The following is a 17,578-nucleotide window of genomic DNA, read 5'->3' as shown; positions in this document are numbered from 1 at the left end:
TTTTTTAATTTTTTTTTTTTTTATAGAGACAGGGTCTTGTTTCGTTGCCCAGGCTGATCTCAAACCCTTGGACTCAAGCTGTCCTCCCACCTAATCCTCCCAAAGTGTTGGGATTACAGGCATGAGCCACTGCGCCCTTCCAACTGTGGCTTCTGACCGGACACATTGCTTTGGGAGGCCCCTCCACTCTAATTATAGAACCACTATGAGCTTGTGAGACTATCTGTGAGCCAGTCCCCTTATTTTACAAATGGGGAAACTGAGGCACAGACAGGCAGTGACTTTAGTTTGACCTGCAACATGGGTACAGCCTCCCAAAGCCCCTGCCTGGGCCCCACACTTCCGTGCAGGCTCCTGCGCTGACCTCCCTCCCCTCGTCTCTCCCTCTCTGATCCCCATGGGGCACAGGACTACGGAGGGTGATGGTGCGGGCTCACCGGCAGGCCTGGTGCTGGCAGGACGAGTGGTATGGGCTGAGCATGGAGAACATCCGGGAGCTGGAGAAGGAGGCACAGCTCATGCTTTCCCGTAAGATGGCCCAGTTCAATGAGGATGGTGAGGAGGCCACTGAGCTCGTCAAGCACGAAGCCGTCTCGGACCAGACCTCTGGGGAGCCCCCGGAGCCCAGCAGCAGCAATGGGGAGCCCCTAGTGGGGCGCGGCCTCAAGAAACAGTGGTCCACATCCTCCAAGTCGTCTCGGTCGTCCAAGCGGGGAGGTAAGGCCCTGCGCCACCTGCCACCCACACTCAAGGTCCCTCCCCTCAAGGCAGCCCCACACACTGCTGGATCACTGCACCTCCTCAGAGTTCTTTCCCATGGACATTGAGGCACCAAGCCCAGAGGGAGTCAGAGCCCTGGGCTAGTCCTCGCACACAGGGAAGCCTGGGCCCTGCCCCAGTGGGCTCCCCAACACTTCCCCTCCATGCCCAGGGAAGACAGTGCTACCCATAGGAGCAGTGGAGGTGGCTGGGCTCCTGCAGCGCGGTGGAGGGGCCACCCCTCCTGATGGGGACCCTAGGAGACTTCAGACCCTGAGATTAAGGATCAACCCAGGCACCCTGGGTGGAGCCAGCTTCTCCAGCAGGCAGGCCTGGCTCACTCATCTCCCGCCTGGGCCCTGCTGTGGCCAAATTTCAGGAGTTTGCTCTTGGTCAGACTCAGGTCAGAGGCCCAGGAGTGGACCCAGGCCTGTCTTACCCCACGTCCTGGGCTTATGTCTGTCATGCTCTTCCCCACCCATGCTCCCCGGGACATGACTGCCTTGTGCCAGGCGGACAGGAGATGAGCCTAGGCCGCTCCCCACTCATTTACACACTTCATTCTCTTCGGAACCTTCCTGGCTCCTGTGGCAGCCTCTGTGATGCCTGTCAGGCCTGTGGGTGGCCCTCCCTGCCTCCTGCCGGCTCAGGGCAGCCTCTGGGCCCTTCCTCTCCAGTTGGCGGTCAATCTGGGGTTTTGCCTTCCAGCGAGTCCTTCCCGCCACAGCATCTCAGAGTGGAGGATGCAGAGTATTGCCAGGGACTCGGATGAGAGCTCAGATGATGAGTTCTTCGATGCGCACGGTAGGCAGGCAGCGCTCTGCAGTCCTTGGGGCCTTCCTGGGCGAGGTGGGGAGGGGTCTGAAAGGGCTTAGGGTGTGGGTGTGGACTGATGCGGGTGTTGCCTGTTACTATTCTATATCCAGTCCCTATACCTGCACTGTCCCAGGTGGACAGCCTGGTGTTTGGGGCAGTGCACAGAGGATGAGATGAGGTCATCTTGTTCCCTTGAGTCTGGGGTCTCAGAACCCGATATCAGGATGTGCTGTGGGCCTGGCAGATGGGGACTGCGCTCTTGAAACCCCAAATAAGGATACACCATCAGACTAGGGCTTTATTCCGTATGTGAATTTATTTCCATGGAAGCATAACTTCTTTTAATTTTCTAATTTTTTGTACTTACCTTATTTCTTCTTGATTAAATTAATACCACATCTAATGCAGGCACTTTAGAAAATGCAATAAGCAGAAAACATGTGAAGTGCCCATTTTCCCACTAGTCCCAAAATAAGCGCATGACCATACAGCAGATGCACCACCTGTGCCAGGAAGAGGCATGCATACAGCGCTCGCCTGCTTGGTGCCCCAGCCATTCCTCTCCAGGAAGCTGGAGGGGCCAGCAGGTGTAGGGGTTGGGGGCTTGGGTCCCTCTGCAAGCCAGTGGCTGAGCCAGCCCAAAGTTCACACAGCAGCTCAGAGGCTCAGAAAGGGATGGGGGCGAGCCCATAGGCACTCAGCAGACACAGGCAGCACCAGATCTCATGTCACCACTGTGGCTTGGAGGGGCACAGGAACCACATAAGGTGGCATTTTGGTTAACTGGCCAGCTGCCCTCAAGGGAAGGAACCTGGGGAGTCAGTGTCCAGGCAGAAGAAAGGTGCCTGGTTTGGCCCTGGGACTGGAGGACCTGGAATGGTGGCTGGGGACTCCCGAGCTGGCCTCTGCACCAGGAGCCTTGCCCAGGACGGAGGAGGGGCCTCTTGGCGTCCCACCCCTCCCAGGTGGCTCTCTGACCCTGATGAGAGGACAATACGTATTTCACATAGAAAAAGCTGTAAAAAAGACAGCAAAGCAGGAAGTGCCAGGACAGCGGTGTCCTGGGGAAATGGGCCCAGGAGCCCATCCAGGACTGGAGGGGGGCCGGCAAGTGCCAGAGCCAGACAGTAGCCATGAGCCTGGTGGTCCTGGGCAGAAGTTCTCAGAGGAGCAGGAGGAGGAGTCTTGGAGGCGGTGTTCATAGCAGCACTTCTTATGAAGCTGTGCTTTTGTGGAGGGACAGGGAGAGGCCTGTTAGAGGATATGAAATTATATCTAGATAGGAGGAATGAGTTCTAGTTCTGTGACACTGCTGGATGACTAGAGTTAACAGTAATGTATTAGGCCAGGCACAGTGGCTCACACCTGTAATCCCAGCACTTTGGGAGGCTGAGGCAGGTGGATTGCTGGAGCCCAGGAGTTTGAGACCAGCCTGGGCAACATGGCGAAACCCTGTCAATACCAAAAATAAAAAAATTTTTTTAAACCACAGTAATATATAGTTTCAAATCACTGGAAGGTGGAAATTGAACATTCCCAACAGAAAGAAATGATAAATATTTGACATGATGGATATGCTAATTACCCTAATCTGATCACCATGCACTGGTGTATTGAAACATCACTGTGTACCCCATGAATATGTACAATTATGATTATTTGTCAATTTGACAAAACAGGAACTGGGTACGGTGGCTCACGCCTGTTATCCCAACACTTTGGGATCGCTTAAGCCCAGGAGCTCAAGACCAACTAGGGTAACATAGTGAAACCTCGTCTCTACAAAAATAAAAATAAAAAAATTAGCCAAGTGTCGTGGCGCATGCCTGTAGTTCCAGCTACTCGGGAGGCTGAGATGGGAGGATCACTTGAGCCCAGGAGGTCAAGGCTGCAGTAAGCTATGACTGTGCCACTACACTCCAGCCTGGGCGTCAAAGCAAGACCCTATCTCAAAAAAATAAAATATATAAGAAATTTTAAAAATGGTGAAGATGGAATAAAGTAAATGTAGCATTTTTTATTTTTATTTATTATTTATTTATTTTTGAGACGGAGTCTCACTCTGTTGCCCAGGCTGAACTGCAGTGGTGCAATCTCAGCTCACTGCAATCTCTGCCTCCCAGATTCAAGTGATTCTCATGCCTCAGCCTCCCGAGTAGCTGGGACTACAGGCACATGCCACCATGCCTGCCTAATTTTTGTATTTTTAGTAGACGGGGTTTTGCCACGTTGGCCAGGCTGGTCTTGAATTCCTGACCTCAGGTGATCCACCTGACTCAGCCTTCCAAAGTGTTGGGATTACAGACGTGAACCACCACCCCTGGCCTAAATGTAGCTTTTTTTTTTTTTTGAGACAAGAGTTTTGCTCTGTCGCCCAGTCTGGAGTGCAACGGCACCATCTCAGCTCGCTGCAACCTCCGCCACCCAGGTTCAAGTAATTCGCCTGCCTCAGCCTCCCGAGTAGCTGAGACTACAGGCGCACACCACCACGCCTGACTAATTTTTGTATTTTTAGTAGAGACGGGATTTCACCATGTTGGTCAGGCTGGTCTTGAACTCCTGACCTCAAGCAGTCCACCCACCTCAGCCTCCCAGAGTGCTGGGATTACAGGCATGAGCCACCATGCCTGGTCAATATAGCATTTTTAAAAAAACAGTCAGGAACATCAGCTGATGAGTGGACAAACAAAACGGGTGTGTCCATGCAATGGACTATGGTTCAGCCATAAAACGGAATGAAGCATCTGACACACACTACAACATAGAGGAGCCCCAGAAACCCTATGCTGAGTGCAAGAAGCCAGACACAAGACCACATGGTGTATGGTTCCATTTATAGGAAATGTCCATAATAGACAAATCTGTAGAGACAGAAAATTGATTGGTGGTGGCCAGGGGCCAAGGAAGGCAAGACTGAGGACCCACTGCTCCCGGGTATGAGGCTCCCATTTAGGGAGGTGAGATGTTCTGGAATTAGATAGTGGTGATGGTTGCAGGGCACTGTGAATATACTAAATGCCACTTTATAAATGGTGACTTTTCTTATGTGAATGTTACCACTATTTTTTGTAATGGTCAGGAAGATGCCCAAGGTGTGGGGCTGTGTGGCCGTCCTGTTGAGGAACGGTCAGAGCAGAGCCGTACACAGGGGCGTCCCCACCTCGGGAAGCCAGGCTTCCCCAGCGTTCCCAGTCCCACCTGAGTTTCCCTCTCTCCTCTCCAGAGGACCTGTCCGACACAGAGGAAATGTTCCCCAAGGACATCACCAAGTGGAGCTCCAATGACCTCATGGACAAGATCGAGAGCCCAGAGCCGGAAGACACACAAGGTCAGCAGGTCTGGGGGTGCTGCAGAGCCTGGGGAGGGCGGTTGCAGGGCTTCAGCCCCCTCCTTTCTGACCAGCTTCTGCACAGTGCTGGGCATACATGTGAGTTGGGGACCCCCAAGCTCCCCTCGTCACAGTTGCAGCCTCTGTCCGGTCGGCCAGGTTGGGCTGCCCCTCAGCTCACAGCACGGCTTCTGTGTCTTTGCAGATGGTCTGTACCGCCAGGGTGCCCCTGAGTTCAGGGTGGCCTCCAGTGTGGAGCAGCTGAACATCATAGAGGTGGGTGCCCGGGTGTCAGAGGGACAGGGGCATGGCCGCCAAGGGAGGGGCAGGGTGCAGAGGAATAGTCTGAGGGGTTACAGAGGTGGAACTCTGGGCCTGGCAGCCTCACCTCCACGCCTGCCTGGGTACTGTCTGGGGAGAGGCCTGGGCCTCCTTTTTTGCTGCCCTGCTAGGAAGGCGCCTGTCGCCCTCTGTCTCTGAGGTCCCCGAGAACCAGGGACTACAGACAACCCCTGAGAAAGCCTTATCCAAGCTCCACCCATGGGAAAGTAAAATGAGAAACTTGTAAATTCCAGATCAAAAATAAGATCTTCACCTTGTGCCCAGCCTGTCTGCTGTCCCTGAAGATAAAAAGACGAAAAGGGAGGAAGCGACAGTCGTCTAGGCAGAAGTGATGTGGCCGTGGCCGACAAGATGGCCCCGCGGGAGGCAGGCGGAGCTCAGTGTGTCCAATAAAACTGTCTTGGTAGAGCGCCTGTATCCGCTTCGGGGGTTCTCTGTGGGAGTTCATGCCCCATCCTCCTCCACCTGCGGGCCGTCAGAGCTGTTTGCACTGGGACAGGAGCCAGGGCTGAGCTGGGCTGTCCCACCATCACCTGCGGTCACCGCACTGCTCTGGCCTCAAGCTACCTAAGGTGGAGGCAGCACCACTTCTGTGGGGAACTCGGGCCCCCGGGGAATCTAGGCGGGGAGGAGGAGGGACATCCACACAGCCTCCCCCTCCTGTGGTTTTCTGCTTTGCGGTCTGATGCCGAGGTCAGCTTTCTAGAAAGGGTCATGGAATAAGGGGAGTTGATTTCCAATTGCTGCTTAATGTCTAGATAAGCAAACGGATCCCTTTCCCCACCTGCAGCACACACAGCTCTGACGCCCCCCCAGGGGAGGGGCAGAAGGGGCCTGGGGCTCTGGATCTGCCTTGGGGTGTGTGTTCAGAACCCAGCACTGATTCTGGGGTACCGCCATCCAAAGCCAAATCCATTTGCTTGCAAGAACCCCCAAACCGGAGCCCCTGCTCCTTGCCTTGTGGAGACACTAGTAGGGGGATGCCTCTACAGCTGCAGGGGGCTCAGCCCCAACTAGAGCCCAGGGCAGGCCAGGTGTCCCCTTGGAGAAAGCAGGCTGAGTGTAGGGAGGCTGTGTTCCAGGGGCCTCTGGGGGTCCCTGGATCATCTCCAGGGCTGAGCCCAGTCAGACAGGCCTATGCAGGATTCTCTCAGCCCCCAGTGCCAAGCCCTTCTCATCCCCTGGTGACAAAGTACCGCTGGATGTCACCTCCCTGTCGTGAAGGCTGCGTAAGACATTTCTTCCATAAGCCCTTCGCCTCACTGGACTGGAAAAAAGCCCTTGTCAAAGCCCAACAGGGCTCATGTTGTTCCCTCCTGCCATGTGTTCTGGGCAGCTGGTGGCCCCCTCTGCCCTGGGCTGAGTGTGTTTGTGTCCAGGCCAACCAGTGGTGGCTAATCCCCATGTGAAGACAAGTGTCAGTCCTGCCCTGGCCCCTGGGAAGAAGAGAGAAGCCCTTGGCTCCTCCTGGGGTGAGGGCAGCCCAGCCTTCCTCCTCCAGCTCAGCAGCACCCACCAGGCTTCTTGCTGCTCAGTGGCTCCTGGCCCAGCCCATCCATTCCCTTGCCCTTCCTGGTGCCCACTTTTTTTTTTTTTTTTTGGAGACAGGGTCTCACTCTGTGACCCAGTTTGCAGTGCAGTGGCACGATCTTGGCTCACTGCAACCTCTGCCTCCTGGGTACAAACGATTTTCCTGCCTCAGCCTCCCGAGTAGCTGGGATTACAGATGTGCACAACCATGCCTGGCTAATTTTTGTATTTTTGGTAGAGACGGTTTTGCTATGTTGGCCAGGCTGGTCTCAAACTCCTGGCCTCAAGTGATCTGCCTGCCTCGGCCTCCCAAAGTGCTGGGATTACAGGCTCGAGCCACTGCGCCCAGCCACCTGGTGGCCTGTTAAGTCCTGGATCCAGCCCCTGCCCTCCCCACCCACCCAGCCTCTGTGTTGGCACCTGGTTCCTGGTGCTACCCCTACCCCCTGGCCAGTTCAGGGCCAGCTGTCCCCACCACAAGCCCTCTAGATGGCTTTGGCTCCTTGGTCTGTCTCCTCGGGTTCTTGGAGGCAGGACTCTCCCTTCAGCTCCCTTCCCTGCCCCCACACCCCAGACATCATATGGACACAGCAAGTACTCATCAGTGGCCCCTCTCAGGCCCTGGCCCTGCTGCTATCCTCTGGTCACATACCAGAAGCTTGGGGCAGGGGAGGGTGACCTCTGGGGACAGGGCCACAGCCTGGCCTGGCAGGAGAGTGCTGAGTAGTGGCAGAGGCTTCAGATTCTGATCCAGCCTGGCACCGACACGCTATGTGATATTGGCCCAGTCCCCCAGCCTGGAGCAGTTCGCAGCCCCTACACAAGTGTGCAGGTCTAGGGTCTCACCTTGACCTCACAGGCAGGCCTGGCCTGGCAGGAAGGTGGGGTCATTACCTCTTGAAATCTGATCGACCTCCTCTCTAAGGTGCTGGGGCTCCGTCCCCACCAGGACACCTCTCCTTTTGGAGACCCTGGTCTTAGAGAGAGGCCAGGAATGGCAGGGCCTTAGGGTGGGGGCCTGGGGAGAATGACTTGGGGGAGAGCTTGGAGCTGCAGGCAGAGTAGCTGGGGTTGCCGCCCACTCAGGCTGTGGATGCCCTGACCCCAGCCATTCTCAGGTGACCTCTGTAACTTTGAGCTGGTGGTGGCCCTGTCTGCTCAGGCCAAGACAGACACACACAGGGCAGGCAGCCCCCAAGGCCAAGACAGGCTGAACCTCTCTGCCTCCCGCTAAAGCTGGAAGCCCCAGAAGCCACTGCCCGGGCTCCCTGAAGGAAGCAGAGCTCATGCTCTCAAAGGAATGGACTCCCTCCCTCCATGTCCTCTGTGCCCCTGGTGAGGGTGGCAGACAGGAGCAGGGCTGCAGGAGGAGGAGTGGACAGGCCCACCTCCCTGCCTCCTCCTGCAGGCTCCAGTCCCTGCAAGAGTCCCAGGGGAGGGGTTGAGGCAGCCAAACCCCAGGCTCCAGGCATGAGTAACCAAAACTGGGGTTCTCAGAGGGAGCAGTTGGGCTGCGTGCAAGAGGCACACCCCCAACAAGGGTGACAGAGGGGCCTCAGCAAGGAGCTGGGTTCCCTGGGGAGCTGACACTGTCCCCCAACCCATGCAGGACGAGGTTAGCCAGCCGCTGGCTGCACCGCCCTCCAAGATCCACGTGCTGCTACTGGTGCTGCACGGAGGCACCATCCTGGACACAGGCGCCGGGGACCCCAGCTCCAAGAAGGGCGATGCTAACACCATCGCCAACGTGTTCGACACCGTCATGCGCGTGCACTACCCCAGCGCCCTGGGCCGCCTTGCCATCCGCCTGGTGCCCTGCCCGCCCGTCTGCTCTGACGCCTTTGCCCTGGTCTCCAAGTGAGTGGCATCTGCCCTTGATTGCAGCCTCCGGCAGTGCACTGTCCTCCTCCTACCCCTGGGCCTCAGGTGGCTCCCCAGTTTCAGGACTCCTGCCCCGATGTCCAGACCCACCGGCCAGCCCCTTCTACCTGGAGGTGCCCAAACGTATACACGCAGGCTAAGCCTCGAGTCCCAGGAGGCCTGGGCCCATGGCTGAGCCTTCGTTTCCAAACGTGTAATGTGGGGATATTGGCCTGCCTCTGAGACATGGGGTCTTACCCACCCTGGTCCCCCAAGCCTATCCAGGCCCTGGCCGGGAAGGGTCCTCACTAGCGTATGCTGAGTCCATGGCTGAGACTCAGGTCAGGGGAGAGGGGCCCTTTGGGCTGAGCTGGAGCCGCCTGCCCTCTCTTGACTGGCCCCTCTCCCCAGCCTCAGCCCCTACAGCCATGACGAAGGCTGTCTGTCCAGCAGTCAGGACCACATTCCCCTGGCTGCCCTCCCCCTGCTGGCCACCTCCTCCCCCCAGTACCAGGAGGCAGTTGCCACAGTGATTCAGCGAGCCAACCTTGCCTATGGGGACTTCATCAAGTCCCAGGAGGGCATGACCTTCAATGGGCAGGTGAGTCCCGGGGAAGTTGGGGAGGGGAGGAGGATGGAAGACCCTGTAGGGCGGGCTGGCCTCAGGGGGAAGGTGACGGCCTCCCCAGCCTATAGTCCAGCGAGCGGGTGAATGGCTCAGGCCTCTGGCCCCTCTCTCCCAAGGTCTGCCTGATTGGGGACTGCGTCGGGGGCATCCTGGCATTTGATGCCCTGTGCTACAGTAACCAGCCGGTGTCTGAGAGTCAGAGCAGCAGCCGCCGGGGCAGCGTGGTCAGCATGCAGGTACCCAAGTGGGGGCCCAGACAGTCCCCAAGGCCTGAAGCCTCCTGCACGCCCCCAGGGTGGCTGCCCTGCCTGTTCCTGCACCTGGCCCCAGGCTGTGTCCACCAAGCAGAATGCTGGCAGCACTTCCTGAGTCCATCTGGCTTGGACTCTACCCAGTTAAGCTCTGTTCATTCAACAAACATTTTCCAAGCCCCTGACCCCCAACCCTGCTGCCAGAGCTCACCTCCAGGACAGGGGCTGTGGAGGGGTTGGGGGTGCAGGGGAGCTGAGGAAGCCCAGCACATTCTGGCCAAAGAGTCAAGGAAAGTGCCTGGGCCCTGAAAGAGCTGTAGCAGTTTTTCTCACAATCTCTTTCCCCTCACCCTTCCAAAAAAGGATGGGAAGGGCAAAGGTTGGCAGCATAGGTGCCCAGAGGCGGCAGGGCAGGTACATGGGGGCAGGGGAGCAGCTGCTATGTGGCCAAGCCTAGGAATGCGTGTGGTTTCATGAGCCTGAACCAGGGTCTGCACTGCGGGCAGTGGGGTCTGGTTCCTAGGAGGTGGGATGGGCGACCCCTCTCTGCTTCCCTGCCTCTGCTGCATAGTGGAAAACGGCCTGTAGACCAATGAGGTCCAGGGTGGCTGGTGGGTGGGAGGACAGAAGGGAATGGGGCCCTCCCCTCTGGTTTGGCAAGAGGCCGGCTGGACAGTGGCCGCTTGGCCTGGGGTTAGGAGGGAGGAGGCAGCTTCCAGGACACTGGAGAAGGGGTCAGGCCAGCGGCCACCTGGCAGTGAGCCTCCACGGGGCCGTTCCAGGACAATGACCTGCTGTCCCCGGGCATCCTGATGAATGCAGCACACTGCTGCGGTGGTGGCGGTGGCGGCGGTGGCGGTGGTGGCAGCAGTGGTGGTGGTGGCAGTAGTGGTGGCTCCAGCCTGGAGAGCAGTCGGCACCTGAGCCGAAGCAACGTCGACATCCCCCGCAGCAACGGCACTGAGGACCCCAAAAGGCAACTGCCCCGCAAGAGGAGCGACTCATCCACCTACGAGCTGGATACCATCCAGCAGCACCAGGCCTTCCTGTCCAGGTGGGCAGGGCTGGGGGGCTGGGGCTTGCCTCTGGGTGTGGGAAGAGGCTCCAAGAGGGAGGAACATCCCCTGTGATGGCCAACAGGAGACCCGGGCTGTCTGCCTGAGGTTCCCCCAGCCTGAGACCTGGAATCCCAGTCTGGGCCCAGGAGAAAGTGGCTTACTGGATGCCTTGTCTCATATACACCAAGGGCCATCTTGGGCCTGAGGGAGCAACTTGTCTTGAGGGTGAGGGTGGGGAATGGCAGAGTTGGGGGCAGAATGGACCAGGGGCAGGTGGTCCAGCTCAGGGCTGTCCTGAAGCCAGTGGGCCCCCGAGAGAGGTTGGGACCTGCTGCCACCAGCAGTGTCGTGGCAGATGATGGCAGCTGCACCCACATGACAGCTAAGTCTTATTTGGGTCTGCAGCCTCCATGCCAGCGTGCTGAGGACTGAGCCCTGCTCACGCCATTCCAGCAGCTCCACCATGCTGGATGGCACAGGTGCCCTGGGCAGGTTTGACTTTGAGATCACCGACCTCTTCCTCTTCGGGTGCCCGCTGGGGCTGGTCCTGGCCTTGAGGAAGACTGTCATCCCAGCCCTGGATGGTGAGAGCCCAGCAGGGGCAGGATGGGGGGTACATGCACTGGGTGCGGGGGCGGGGGTCTCAGTGGACCCCTGTGATGAGATCATGGCCACGTCCCAGGCCTGTTTCTGCCCTCCTTCCTGTCTTCCCCACCAAGGGCCCCTTGCTATCCTCTGCTCCTGCTTCAGCAGCTCAGTCACTGGCCGTCCGTGACACCTGCTGTTTCATTTCATCTCCGGGGTGCCTGTGGATGCTGAGGGTCAACCCCTAGATGGGCAAGCTGAGGTCCAGGGAGAGAAGGCACCACCCCAGAGTCAGATGGAGACAGACCCAGCCTCCCAGGTCCAAGGTCCTCCCATAGGGAGAGATGCAGAGGCCAGGCATCCCCAAAGCCTCCTGGGTATAGTGGGCTCCCAGCCCTGGAGGGGCCACAGCTGTGCGTCTCTGTCTACCCAGGGCAGGCAGGCCAGCGGCTGGGCGTCATTGGAGCAGCAGTCCCTGCCCTGTGCCCTGGGATCAGCCTGCAAAGCTCCAGGAGCCACACAATCCTGAGAGTAGCAACACATGTTACACTCCCAGATGACAGAGGGGGAAACTGAGGCTCAGAGAGGTTTAGATGCTTGCCAAGTGCAGGTTAAAAATGCAGAGCTGGCCGGGCGCGGTGGCTCACGCCTGTAATCCAGCACTTTGGGAGGCCGAGGCGGGCGGATCAGCTGAGGTCAGGAGTTTGAGACCAGCCTGACCAACATGGAGAAACCCCGTCTCTACTAAAATTACAAAATTAGCCAGGTGTGGCAGCACATGCCTGTAATCCCAGCTACTCGGGAGCCTGAGGCAGGAGAATCGCCTGAACACGGGAGGGCGGAGGTTGCGGTGAGCCAAGATTGTGCCATTGCACTCCAGCCTGGGCAACAAAAGCGAAACTCAGTCTCAAAAAAAAAGAAAAAAAAAAATGCAGACCTCTGGACTCAGCACCCAAGTGCCTTCCCCTTCCATAAACTGGCGACTTCAGCACTGCCAGGAAGAGAAATGGGTAGCTTTAAGGGGACCCCAACAACCAAGGCAGCCCCATGGAGGGCATCCCTGTGCCCCAGCCACTGCAGGCTCTGAACAGCCCCACAGAGTCCCACACAGGTGCATGGAGACTTAGGGACAGTACCGTTGTGGTCCCATTATGTGTCATTGTGAAAAACCAGAACCAACTTAAATGTCCGTCTATGTGGAGGGGCTGGTTAAATAAATTCTGGCACAACCACACAGTGGAGTACCCGCCTCCACTGAAAAAGAGCAAGGAGAAACTAGACGTGCTGACATGAAAGACGCCAACATTTTTTGTGTTAAATGGGAGGAAAAGGCAAAGTTCAGAAGGCATAGCATATGTTCTGGTTTATGTCCCTCTAAAAGTGAGATACAGCACTAATAATTAACACAACCTTGCATTCACGTGATCTCCTTAACTCCATGACGTGGTTGGAACTGCTGCCCCATTTGACAGAAGGGGAAACATTTTCCGATACAGGCAGGGCAGGGCTGCCCTAGCCAGCACTCGGTGGTGCTCCCGCAAGATGAGCTGGAGCTTCGGGGGGATCTGGGGTGGAAGGGGTTTCCACCATGTGCCCTTCATCATATGCTCTTCTGTACTGCAAACCACCTTTTACCACAATCATTATAACTTTTGCAATGAAAAAAAATTAGAGGTCAGGCGTGGTGGCTCACGCCTGTAATCCCAGCACTTTGGGAGGCCCAGGTGGGAGGATCACTTGAGTCCAGGAGTTTGAGACCAGCCTGGATAACATAGTAAGACCCCATCTCTACAAAAAATAAAATAAAAAAGCCAGGTGTGGTGGTGCACACCTGTGGTCCCAGCTACTCAGGAGGCTGAGGGGGTAGGATCACTTGAGCCCAGGAGACGGAGGCTACAGTGAACCAAGATCGCACCACTGCCCTCCAGCCTGGGTGACAGAGCAAGACCCTGTCTCAAACAAACAAAAAAGTGACAATGACCCAAACAGGTCCCAAATTGATAGAGACACACCCCCCATCTTATCCCTAACTTTCAGCAGACAACCCAGTGCCCAGTTCCCAAATTTCCCACCCCCACCACTGCTCCTCAGGGCCAGCCCCAGCTCTGCAGCCAACACCCCCACCCCCAGTTTTCCAGCTGCGGCCGGCCTGCCAGCAAGTCTACAACCTCTTCCACCCCGCGGACCCGTCAGCTTCACGCCTGGAGCCGCTGCTGGAACGGCGCTTTCACGCCCTGCCGCCTTTCAGCGTCCCCCGCTACCAACGCTACCCGCTGGGGGATGGCTGCTCCACGCTGCTGGGTGAGAGGCACATTCCGCCCCACTCCTCTGGGGGAAGGTGGGGTAAGCGTGGCTCCCTGGCTCCTAGGTCCTCCATGCTACGTGGTTCTTCCCCAGGTGAGAGGGACAGCTTGTGCTGAATGCCTCTTGGAGGTGGACAGCTGTTGGGGGTGGGGGGTGGGGGTGGTGCATCCCTCCGCACTGATCCCTGTGAGGCACAAATGATAGTTCCCACCTTTCAGAGGACACAGGTCAGGGCCTTGTTCCAGGGTCCCCGGAGCAGGGAAAGGGCAGAACAAGACCAGACTCCCCTCTCCACAGCTGAGCCTCCATCCCAACAGAGACAGAGCTAAGGACCCAGCAGGGACCCTCACTTAGTAGGGGGCCTGGGTCGGCTGGGTCCCATCATGGCAGGCGGCTGGCCCCGAGATAGGGTGCAGGAGATGCGTTGGGGCAGGGGAGGTCCAGGTAGGCTTGGCCCGACCCCTGCCCCAGCGTGTGTCCCAGCGTCTTGTCACGTCCTGGTCCTCGAGGAGCCCTGAGTCTCTGTGTCAGAGCGTGTCTGGATGGCCCATGCAAGTGTCTGTTCTTGTCCTCTGTTCTCTCCCCGTCTGCCTCCAGTCGAGACCGTGCAGAGAAACCCTGAGCTGGTCCTGGAGGGCGGCCCCCTGGCCCCTCTCCCCCACGGGGACGGCTTCCTGGAAACCAGTATGCCTGTTCCCGCGCCCACCTGGCAAGACGGGCCCCGCCCGGGCTGTGCCGAGTGTGTGTACCCTCCCCTGCTCGTGGTGACGTCTGCTTCGTTGGTTGACCTGGTCCTCAGGGACACCCCCCAATCCATGCCCTCCTTGGCCACTCACAGTTCGTGGGACCTGGGTGGTGAGGAACAGAGACTTGGGCAGGACGGCTCTGGGGAGCTGATGTCGGTGCTTCCTCCCTGCATATTGTGGGCCAGAGGCAGGGCAGAGCCAAAGCAAAGGGGCGCAGCAGCTCAGAGACAGCAGAGGCCGTCTCAGGGCCACACAGCAAGTCAGCGACAGTTCCAGGGCTCTGCCAGAAGCAGACTGAGGCCTTGAGCCAGCCGGGCCCACCCCTCACCTGGGGAAGCTTCTGGTCCCAGCGAGGGGTTGGATTCCCCAAGGCCCACTCCTTCGCTTTCTGAGGTCACCCAGGCACCTCCTGTACCCCGTCCAGGTGTGGCTTGTCTGGCTGAGCCCCATCCTCCCTGTTCTGTCCTGTCTTCAGCCTGCGCCTGGGTGAGCCTGGCTTGAGCCCCCAGCACCTGCCTTTGTCCCCAAACGCCCATCAGGGGCTGCTGGCTGTGGCCTGTGTGAGGGATGCTCAGGGCTTGCCTCTCTCTGTGCTCTGCATGTGCAGGGCATCCCCAGGAAGCCACCCATGGCACCTGTTGTCAGCGCCCTGCAAACCTGGGTGGAGCCGCTGCTTCTGCTGTGGGCTGTGGGTCAGGTCAGGCCAGGGTGAGCTCTGGAGGCCCTGGAGCCACTGGGGTGCTGGAGACAAGCTGAGGGGTGTGTGTGGGGCAGGAGGGTGACTGAGGTTGAGCCCAGCTGCCACGCCTCCCTGCCCTGTGTCTGTGTCCATTCGTCAGTCCACCCTGCCCCAGCCCTCCTCCTCACCTGCTAAAGCTCTGGGCCCCTTCCTCTCACGGCCCTGAGCAGGTGGCTCTGGCACAGCTGCTGCCCAGCCTCCAGTCTAGGTGCACACTGGACCCTGGCACACTGGCTTCCCCACTGCTCCGGGGCTGGGCAGGGCCTCTCTTACCTGGCCTCTGGTCCCTGTCCACCTGCAGCGGATGTGCTCCAGACCCACAATGCAGCCTTCCAAGAGCATGGCGCCCCCTCCTCGCCGGGCACTGCCCCTGCCAGTCGTGGCTTCCGCCGAGCCAGTGAGATCAGCATCGCCAGCCAGGTGTCAGGCATGGCTGAGAGCTACACGGCATCCAGCATCGCCCAGAGTGAGTATACCAGGCCCCTCACCCTCCTCACTCAGCCAGGGCCATTGTGCCCACAGGGGACAGCTGCTGGCCATGTCTAGGAGCATTTCTAGCTGATGAAGCTAGGGAGGGCTGCTGCTGGCACCTGGTGGGTAGAGGGAGGGAGGCTGCTGGGCACCTGCAGTGCCCGGGCCAGCCCCACAGCAGAGACCGGTCAAGTCCAAAGACTCTGCAGTGTCTAGGCTGAGAAGCTTCGCCTTCTCAGGAGGATTCTGGAAGAAGGCGCATTAGTAAGGGCCCCGCCTTCCTCATGCTTAGCTCCTGCATGAAGCCTCTTGGTGCTTGAAGCACAGCCCGGGTTCCCTTCTCAGTCCCCGCCAGGGGCTGCGCCCCGTGCTGGGCCAGGGATTCTCGCAGCTGTGGTCAGGGTGGCCATGCAGGAGCTGAGGCTGGGGTGGGGGTTGCTGGCAGTTGTGTTCATCCGTGAGGAGGGCCAATGGGCTCGCCCTTGATAGCTCCAGGCCTGGCACTGTCCCAGTGTCCTGCCTGGCCCCTGGTAGACGTGGCAGTGCGGTCATCCCCGCGTGGCTGAGCCATCCATTGCTCTTGCTTCTCAGAGGCCCCCGATGCGCTCAGCCATACCCCCAGCGTCAGGCGTCTGTCCCTGCTCGCCCTGCCCGCCCCCAGCCCCACCACCCCTGGCCCCCACCCTCCAGCCAGGAAGGCAAGCCCTGGCCTGGAGAGGGCCCCTGGCCTCCCTGAGCTGGACATTGGAGAAGGTACCACCCCACACACTTTCCCCTCACTGGGGGTCACTCTGCTGCTGAGCACCCCTCACTGCCAGGCTCTGCCCACCTAGACCCCCGCTTCGGCCTAACAGGGAGCTGGGGGCTGGGCTGGGAGGACTTGGCCATCTAGGGAGGAGGTGGGAGCTGGTGGCATTGTCTGGTGGGGTGGGGGACCAGGGACCCCACGGAGCTGGAGTGAGGCCAGATGAGGACCAAGGAAGCTCCGGGGAAAGCTGTGGGCAGAACCTAGGGAAGCCTGGACCTGTAAACCAGGCCCTGCTGCTGGGCCTCTCCTGCGGACAGCCCAGGGGGCACTTTACAAGCTTGTCTTGTTCAGGAAGGTTGTCCTCGCCCAGCCCCTAGTGGCAGAGCCAGATGCACCCAGGACCATCCATCTGGAGGCCCAGGCTTCCCCGCCCACACTGCTGTGTCTCAGGGCTCGTAGGGTGGCCCAGGTGCGAGAAGGGCAGCACCCTTGCCCTGGGGATCAGGAATTGTAACCCCATCTCTGTGCCGCCTTTCCCAGCCTTGAGGCCTGGGGGAAGATAGGAGAACAGGAATGGCCCAGAGAGGGCAGAGATGGGGTTGCCACGGGGCAGAGGGTCACCAGAGTCAGGAAGGGACCACAGACAGCTGGTACCATCCCACAGATGGCGACTGGTCCTCCCACGCAACCGCAGGAGCCCCTCAGCAGGGCTGGCACTCACCACTGTCCTGGGTCTGCGTGCTTTTGCCTGCGCTCCCTCCCGCTTGCCTCACTCACCCAGCCTGGGAGAAGACTCACTTTTGGCTATAGCTGGTGGGGGGACTGTGCTGGGCTGAGCAGGCCAGAGGGGCCGGGTGACCCTTCGGGGTCCCTGTCTGGGGCTATACAGCCCCAGCCCAGTCACGGCCCCTCCTGGCAGTCGCTGCAAAGTGGTGGGGCCAGAAGCGGATCGACTACGCCCTGTACTGCCCTGACGCCCTCACGGCCTTCCCCACGGTGGCTCTGCCTCACCTCTTCCACGCCAGCTACTGGGAGTCAACAGACGTGGTCTCCTTTCTGCTGAGACAGGTACCCGGGGCCTGGGACCTCCCAGGAGGGCCCTGAGTGACAACACCCATGACAGGGCCACATTTCACAGACGAGGGGACAGTGGGGACTCCTCTCCAACCCCATCAGATCACAGAGCAAGCAAGATGAGGGCACCTTTATGCTCGGGTGTATTCAGGCTTTTCAGGACATTGGGATGGAGGGAACATATCTGCACATTCGTCAGGTGAACGAACAGGGGTCTGAGGGCTACTGGGCAGACAGTAGTGAGTTGAAGAACACCCCCTACAACCCACAGGCTCCTCTTGCTCCCGGGTACTGGGCCTCCTCCTCCCAGGGCAGGAAGCCCCCGGGTGGCATCTGCCC

The 17,578-nt window shown here is 58.9% G+C and overlaps 1 protein-coding gene across 32 annotated transcripts in view, besides 1 other annotated feature; it reads left to right on the top strand.

The window, feature by feature from the left end:
* The window catches only part of PITPNM2 (phosphatidylinositol transfer protein membrane associated 2), a 168,369-nt gene that overhangs the window by 145,892 nt on the left and 4,899 nt on the right, over positions 1–17,578 (top strand). For 6 of the 32 annotated variants that reach the window (XM_047429200.1, XM_047429201.1, NM_001384660.1 and 3 more), the window contains 14 exons: positions 409–717; positions 1,468–1,563; positions 4,799–4,903; positions 5,109–5,179; positions 8,385–8,632; positions 9,047–9,236; positions 9,380–9,499; positions 10,297–10,568; positions 10,978–11,156; positions 13,288–13,458; positions 14,059–14,316; positions 15,248–15,412; positions 16,009–16,170; positions 17,085–17,233. In XM_047429200.1, coding sequence (XP_047285156.1) covers positions 409–717; positions 1,468–1,563; positions 4,799–4,903; positions 5,109–5,179; positions 8,385–8,632; positions 9,047–9,236; positions 9,380–9,499; positions 10,297–10,568; positions 10,978–11,156; positions 13,288–13,458; positions 14,059–14,316; positions 15,248–15,412; positions 16,009–16,170; positions 17,085–17,233 — 2,495 coding nt within the window. Of the gene's footprint in view, positions 1–408; positions 718–1,467; positions 1,564–4,798; positions 4,904–5,108; positions 5,180–5,478; positions 5,655–8,384; positions 8,633–9,046; positions 9,237–9,379; positions 9,500–10,296; positions 10,569–10,977; positions 11,157–13,287; positions 13,459–14,058; positions 14,317–15,247; positions 15,413–16,008; positions 16,171–17,084; positions 17,234–17,578 lie in introns of those variants that run through there. The other 26 variants (XM_047429212.1, NM_001384661.1, NM_001384663.1 and 23 more) reach the window with 13 other exon arrangements.
* Positions 11,996–12,085: an enhancer, noted in NCBI's record as "active region_7249". NCBI's record gives its function as "activates an Ori minimal core promoter by ATAC-STARR-seq in GM12878 lymphoblastoid cells {active_cell/tissue: GM12878}" and the evidence as "EXISTENCE:reporter gene assay evidence [ECO:0000049][PMID:35858748]".

The sequence above is a fragment of the Homo sapiens genome, chromosome 12 (genome assembly GCF_000001405.40).
Source record: "Homo sapiens chromosome 12, GRCh38.p14 Primary Assembly".
In the NCBI taxonomy this organism is placed as follows: Eukaryota; Metazoa; Chordata; class Mammalia; order Primates; family Hominidae; genus Homo; species Homo sapiens.
Note: the sequence above shows the minus strand (reverse complement) of the source record. Positions and strands in the feature narration are given on the sequence as shown.